Source organism: Homo sapiens, chromosome 19 (genome assembly GCF_000001405.40).
Source record: "Homo sapiens chromosome 19, GRCh38.p14 Primary Assembly".
Taxonomy (NCBI): Eukaryota; Metazoa; Chordata; class Mammalia; order Primates; family Hominidae; genus Homo; species Homo sapiens.
This window is the reverse complement of record NC_000019.10, coordinates 6,419,095-6,426,036: the sequence shown is the minus strand read 5'-3', so window position 1 is coordinate 6,426,036 and position 6,942 is coordinate 6,419,095. Positions and strand designations below refer to the sequence as shown.

The 6,942-nt window shown below is 58.0% G+C and overlaps 1 protein-coding gene across 3 annotated transcripts in view, besides 1 other annotated feature; it reads left to right on the top strand.

Annotated features, from left to right (window-relative positions):
• Positions 799-918: an enhancer, noted in NCBI's record as "active region_13824". NCBI's record gives its function as "activates an Ori minimal core promoter by ATAC-STARR-seq in GM12878 lymphoblastoid cells {active_cell/tissue: GM12878}" and the evidence as "EXISTENCE:reporter gene assay evidence [ECO:0000049][PMID:35858748]".
• Positions 1,226-6,942, top strand: part of KHSRP (KH-type splicing regulatory protein) — an 11,710-nt gene continuing 5,993 nt past the window's right edge. For all 3 annotated transcript variants that reach the window (NM_001366300.1, NM_003685.3, NM_001366299.1), the window contains exons 1-7: positions 1,226-1,584; positions 3,601-3,697; positions 4,349-4,387; positions 4,720-4,759; positions 5,566-5,615; positions 5,893-5,964; positions 6,777-6,834. In NM_001366300.1, coding sequence (NP_001353229.1) covers positions 1,336-1,584; positions 3,601-3,697; positions 4,349-4,387; positions 4,720-4,759; positions 5,566-5,615; positions 5,893-5,964; positions 6,777-6,834 — 605 coding nt within the window. In that variant the 5' untranslated portion in view covers positions 1,226-1,335. The remainder of the gene's footprint in view (positions 1,585-3,600; positions 3,698-4,348; positions 4,388-4,719; positions 4,760-5,565; positions 5,616-5,892; positions 5,965-6,776; positions 6,835-6,942) is intronic.

Genomic DNA, 6,942 nt, shown 5'->3' with positions numbered 1-6,942 from the left:
CGTGTCTGGATACTTGGGCCTAGGAGTGGAACTGGGTGCATGAGATCCCTGGACCCAGTAGGGGAGCTGGGGACCTTGGGCCTCTGGGTCCTGAATGGGAATTTGTGTCCAGGAGAGGAAGTGAGGACCTAGGATAGGAGCTTGAGGCTTGGATCCCAGGGCCTTAGGCGAAGGGAGTGAGGGGTGTGAAGTGAGGGGTGTGATCGAGGCTGTGATCCCTCGATCCCGGTTGTTGGAACGGTTCTGGACTCGTGAGTGGGGCTGGTTCCTTGAGTCCTGCAAGAGAACTGGACGCTCTAGATGGGGGGTCGAGAGAGAAGAAGGCCCGGGGGATCCCGAGTTTCCTGCTTTCCGGCCTCCCCACCTCCGGAAGCGCTCGATCTCTAAGGCTTCAAGCGGGCCACGTGCCGGGCCTACCCAACCAGGCTGCCGGTGAGCTAACCCAGACATCAGGCCTGAGTTCGGGCAGCCGATTGCCACCGCCCACGTCGGCTGCCATTCACTACAGTTCCCGCTAATCCCCTCGCTGTCTGGTGGCCGACTCCGCCCCAATGCAGCGGCGCTTCCACTGGCTCCCACCAAAAGTGGGCGCTTTGATTTCCTTCATTCCCATTTGTCCAGACCAGTGTCAGTCACCGAACACCCACCCATGTCGCTCAGCCATTGGCTTAGAAGTCAGGGATAGAAAAGGATTCTGGTTAACAAGGGAAGCAATTAAAGTCCAAAGCCAACCTCATCACCCAGAACTCGTCAGGAATTGGATTAATTGGCTGCCCATCTTTACAAGCACCACCTCTCACGTGCATTCATTGGCTTGTGTCCACGACTATCAAACCTAACGCCCACCCAGCCGGTCCATAGGAGTCTTCCACTAGGCCCGGCCTTACAGTCCACGTGACTCTTCAGAACCGTCAATCTAATTCTGAAGCCGCCCCGCGAATCTGGCACTCGCGTTTCATTGGGCCTCCTGCCTTCTCAGATCTCCTTCATTTGCCCGCCCAGCACGGGCAGCTCGCAGCTATTGCCTCTGAGAGCTGTCAGTCACTCTGAGCCTCCCGCCCACTGCCCCTCATTGCACTCCGATTGGCCACCTCCTACAGAGCTCGCGATTGGTGTCCGGGGTGCGGCGGCTGCCTCCCATTGGCCCGCCGGAGTCGTCCGTCACGTCGGCGGCGGGAGGGGCGACTCTCTCCCCCCTCGTCGTCCTCCCAGCGGCTGGGTTCCCAGAGTGCTCCGCGGCCGTGTGGAGCGAGGCCTTGTTCCCGCGTTGAGCCGCCGCCGCCGCCGCCGCCTCCTCAGCTTCAGCCTCCGCGCCAGGCCCGGCCCCGCCGCGCCATGTCGGACTACAGCACGGGAGGACCCCCGCCCGGGCCGCCGCCGCCCGCCGGCGGGGGCGGGGGAGCCGGAGGCGCCGGGGGAGGCCCTCCGCCGGGCCCGCCAGGCGCGGGGGACCGGGGCGGCGGCGGTCCCGGCGGCGGCGGCCCGGGCGGGGGGTCGGCCGGGGGCCCCTCTCAGCCACCCGGCGGAGGCGGCCCGGGAATCCGCAAGGACGCTTTCGCCGACGCCGTGCAGCGGGCCCGCCAGGTGAGGAGGCCGAGGGCCTGAGGGGCGCGCTCGCGCGCGCGCGCAGGCGGGGGAGGGGGCGGGGGTCACGTGCGCGCGCGCGCGCAGGGTCGCGGAGGGGGGCCGGGGCCGTCGCGGGGTCACGTGGGCGGTAGGCGGGGGCCTGGCCCTCCCGCTGCGCCTCGAGTGGGATCCCAACGGGTGACCCCCCTGCAGGGAGTAGGGGCGCACTGGGGGTCACCAGGAGCGGCGCCTGGGTGTGCAGGCGCCCCGGAGCTCGGAGACGCACTTTTGGGACCCCCCCCTTAGCCCCCCGGCCTTAGGACATGCCTGGAGGCAGGGGTCCACCTTCCCGGGCGGAGGGCCTTTACTCTCCCCTCCATATCAGGGCAAAGGGCAGTGTTTGCCCCCAACCCAGTCCCATTTCTGTCCCCTCTCTAGGAGAAAGGGACATTGTGGGGGTGGGAGGGACAGTCCTTCCTCTTCAGTCGGGAAAGTGGATGGGGACCTGTCTAGGGCTGAGCACTTGGGCGAAATGGGGAAGACGAGCATGGGGACTGGCTCTTGGATGCTTTGGTGGCTTGAAAGCGTGGTCTGTCTCTTTGGGGGAAAGAAGGGAGGGTCTCCCACCCCCGTGTATTGAGGCGTAATGACAAGGAAGTGTCACATGCTGCTAGGACTGACCTCTCCAGCTCCATTTGCAGCCTCCCCATGGCCTGGAGGGGTGGGGGTCGGTAGAATGGGAGGACTTTGCCGCCGACCGGCTCCTGGGCTGTCCCAATGCCTCCGGGGCTAGAGACTGGCTCCTCCCAAGGTGGGAGGTCCCGTTAAGTGAACGCCTGTGTTCTGGCCCTCTGTCGTCTCTCTCACCCTTGGAGTTGGGTGGGTTCTAGCGTGCATTTGGTCTTATTGCCCATGGAACCGTCTGATTCTGGGACAGCTTGAAGGGAGGAAGCTGGTGCTGTCAGTTGGTGGGGACAGGCCCCCTGTGGGCATCCCATGAGTTTTGGCTCTAGGGCAGCGTAGAAAAATGGAGACTGGTGGAAAGGGAGATTCTTAACATGGTTTGGGTTTCTAAACCCCAGACTCTGATCCTAAGTTTGCTGGGTTGAGGTTTCTTTAAAGTTGCTCTTCACGTGTCTGAGATGTAACTTGTGTCCCATAGAGTCTTGGTTTTTTGTTTGTTTGTTTGTTTTTTGGAAACAGTCTCAATATCACCCAGGCAGGGGTGCAGTGGCACGATCTCAGCACACCACAGCCTCCACCTCTCCAGTTGAAGTGCTCCTCCTGCCTCAGCCTCCCGAGTAGCTGGGATTATAAGTGTGCACCACCACACCCAGCTAATTTTTGTATTTTTAGTAGAGATGGAGTTTGACCATGTCAGCCAGTCTGTCTCGAACTCCTGAGTTCAAGTGATCTGCCCGCCTCGGCCTCCCAAAATGCTGGGATTACAGGCATAAGTCACAGTGCCCAGCCATCCAGAGAGTCTTCTGTTTTGGTCAAATGAGGATTTCATATCCCTTGAAGTGATCGCTTTGCTCAAATTTATTCAATAAATTGATAAAAGGATTTTGAGAGTGGGGGAGATAGGGGAAAATTGAACTCTTCAGCATCCCAGGAAAACGGGGCTAAAAAAAAACACACTTTCTGGTTTTCTGAGCTGGGGCCACTGGCAGGAGGAAGTGTCTGAAAGCTCTTGGAGATGACCTGGGAACCCTCCCTGACACCTGAGCCTCTGTTCCTTGTCACCCCTAGAACGAAGTCAGTGTGGATTATGGGCTGGCCACAATTAAGACACAAATCCCAGGAGAAGGGAAGAGGGGAATTTTGATATTCCCAGTTAACTGGTGAGAACCTTGAGGCCTAGGTTCAAAACTCCTAGGATGTCTTAACCAACTGACTCTTCCCTAAGTTGGAGGGCCAGACACCAAGACCTGATGGGCTTTCGTGTCCAGGAGATGTTCTGAGAAGTTGACCTGGGTGCCATGGAGGGTTGTTTTTGGTGGTAATTCTTCTGTGCTTACTACTTTATTCTAGATTGCAGCCAAAATTGGAGGCGATGCTGCCACGACAGTGAATAACAGCACTCCTGATTTTGGTTTTGGGGGCCAAAAGAGACAGTTGGAAGATGGAGGTAACTCCCTGCTGCTGCCTTTAGCTTAGGAGGAAGGGCTGGGGGCCTAAAGAGGTGCTTTTGTTTGAGTGTGGTTCAGAGGGGGTGGGTGTCACTGTTGTTTGGTCTTTTAAAACCTCAGCAATCCCGGCCTTGTTAATTCTTCTTGTTCCGTCTGCCATCCTGAGGTATCAGGTGGCAGAGAGGAGGGCAGATTGATTGTGACTGGGTCGAAGTTGTAAGTTCCCAAGATGATTCCTCCCTTTCTGGGAGGCTGAGGCAACCTGGAGCAGTTACTGAGGCTTGATGTGAAGTTGGCCCAGCTCTGGGGTGCGTAGTGTGACCCCAAGTAGCGGATGATCAACCCTGACCAACTCCACTGTTATCCACGACACCCTCCCTGCTAGAGGCAGGTCCTGTCCTAAACCGGGAGGACTCAGGTGCCTGGTGGTGGTTGCGTGTTCTGAAGGCTTTTTTACTCTGAGCGTTGGTGGCGGAATTGGCGGGGTCTGGCCTCCCTCAGGGGCCAGTCTCTCCTGGGCTCCTGTCTCAGCTCCTGTTAAGGGTGGGGGCCGAGGGGCACTGTTTACCTTGGACATGTGGCACCAGCATCAGGTTCGAGGCGGCCGTGGGTGGGTGGGTGCTGCATCTGCCATCCTCTCTCTTTCCCAGATCAACCGGAGAGCAAGAAGCTGGCTTCCCAGGGAGACTGTAAGTCCAGGGGGTCTGGTGGCAGATATGTGGCTTCAGAGGGTTGAGGTTTTCAGGAGTCAGGAGCTGGAAGCACTGAGGAGGTGGCAGCTCTTTACAGAGGCCCCTGGTGCTTCATTCTGGGGCCCATACGTTTGAGGGATCCCAGGAACCCTGAAATTGAGGGAGATGAGCTCTGTGCTTTTATGGGGAGGAATCCACAGCATCCATGAGGCACTGGAGCAGGCTGGGGACCGTGGTGCCGGGCTCAGCTCCCACTGACCCGGGGCAGGCAGTGCCAAGTGCCCGAGGAGGAGCTAAGCCAGTCTTTGCTTTGGGTTTTCTCTCTACAGCAATCAGTTCTCAACTTGGACCCATCCATCCTCCCCCAAGGTAAGCCATGGTGGGGCCCACACTGCTTTCTTGTCTGTTGGCCAGCAGACTGGCCTTTCTGCTGACTTGGGAGGGCTCTGACTGGGGGCACATCTCTCAGGTTTTATCCCCCAGTGCCAGTTGACCAGAGTGCTCAGACGGGAATGAGGCAGAGGAGCTGTGTCCGTTCCTCGTACCCCTTGTCTGAAGGGCTGTGGGAGGGGAGCGTCGTGGCAGTCACTGTAGTGATAGGGTGGTCTCCGCACCCTATGGCTTCCTCCGCTGGGGTGGGGACTCTGAGCAGCACAAATGTCGTCTTCCTGGAAGAGGCTAGGAGGGCCTTGCTTCCCTCCCTCACACATCTGCAAGTGCCCATCCCACTCAGTGCTGTGGAGCTCAGGGCTCTTTGCCACCTCTTTGCCCCACCAGATGGACTGAGGTGAACCTGACACAGGGCAGTTGTCAGGGGTCATTTTTTGTTTGTTTGTTTTTAATGGGCCAGTAGTTTCATAAAATACTAGGAAAATAAGATGAAAAGGACATACAGCCAGCTTTTTAGAACTGAGAGACATAGAGTGACTGTCAGCTTGCTACTCAGTGCTCCCTCTCGCCCTGAATCAATGGGACGGCACCAGGCCAAGGCCCACAATGCCCAGAGCAAGCCTCTCGGGGCACAGATGGGGAAACTGAGGCCTTGGCAGTTTTGTGGCCTGTGTGGTCAGACTCTGCTTAGACCTATGGTGGCCTTGGCTTCAAGTAGACCTTCCAGAGCTGCTGTCCTCCTCCCTTCCCACTTGAGGACTGACCTTTGGCGTGTCTCTTTACAGGACTTCAATGACAGAAGAGTACAGGGTCCCAGACGGCATGGTGGGCCTGAGTGAGTGTGGGTCACCTTGGGTGGGGAGGCCCACTCTTCCCCAGGAGGAAGTGTCCTGTGAGCTCCTGCCAGCCCAGAAGCCCTGGTCTGAGAGGGCTCCTATGTGCTGTTCTCATTTGTCCCTCCTTCGTCCCCTCTGGGCAGAGGACAGGAGCTCTCTAGAGGACTGCTGCCCTCCTGAACGTCAGAGGGGCTGGGGCCCCGGCCACACAGTCTCCTGAGGCCTGGGCTCCCTTCCCTCATCACGCTTTGCTTTTCTCCTTCTTTCTCCATCCAGTCATTGGCAGAGGAGGTGAACAAATTAACAAAATCCAACAGGATTCAGGCTGCAAAGTACAGATTTCTCCAGGTATAAGAGCGTCAGGTTCCTGCCAGAGTGGGGGCCAGGGTTGGGCCCTTTGCACTTTCCTTTAATTACTTAATTTCCACGGGGACTGTGGACAGGAAGCGAGCTGGCGCTTGTTGGTGCTTACTACGGACCAGGCTCAGTGCAGTATCTCACTCCACTAGTACTGCCCACGGGGCACAGCTGTGACTTTTTTTATTTTCAGTGGGTGGGTATGGACTGAGGTGGCAGGGCTAGCATTTCGCACAGGGGCCTGGTTCCAGACACCGAGCTTCGACGCACTGCACTGACCTGCCGCGTGGGTGAAAGCACCCCGGCAAGACTGCGTGAGACAGGGTGGTGCCTTGGACAGAGGGGTCACTCTGAGGTCAGGCCCAGGAGCAAATCCCGGTTCTGGCTGCACATCTGCTCTCAGGCAATGTAGTTACCTTTCGAATCTCAGAGTCCTGAGCTACAGAAAGCCTGCTGGGTAGGGGGTTCTGAGGCTTCCTTGGGCGTGTAGCACGTGTTGTCTATAGAAGCGGCTCTGGTCATCATTGGTAGTGGGGGTGGCCGGCTCCTGGACCTTCTGGAATCTGCAACTCCCTCCACCTCATCCTTTTCCCTTAAAGTCCTACCTCCCTTCTGGGATCTCTTCCCAACCTTGGCCTTGCATCGAGCAGCCTCCCAGGTGTTTAGGGGAAGTAAACTGATCTGTCAGGCACTGAATGGGACAGAAGTGGCCCTTGGTTGTTCTGAAAGTTTCCTCGTGTCCAAGGCAGGCCTTTCTCTGCCTGTGGGCCAGGGAGGGCACTGACTCTATCTCCTCTTTTCAGACAGCGGTGGCCTACCCGAGCGCAGTGTGTCCTTGACAGGAGCCCCAGAATCTGTCCAGTAAGTCCCCACAGGGCCTCTCATTGTGATGTGGGGGGCAGGCAGAAGCCTGCTCTGTCCGTTTGAATTGAAAGTTGGGAGCAACTTGCACGCCATGTCCTCCATTCT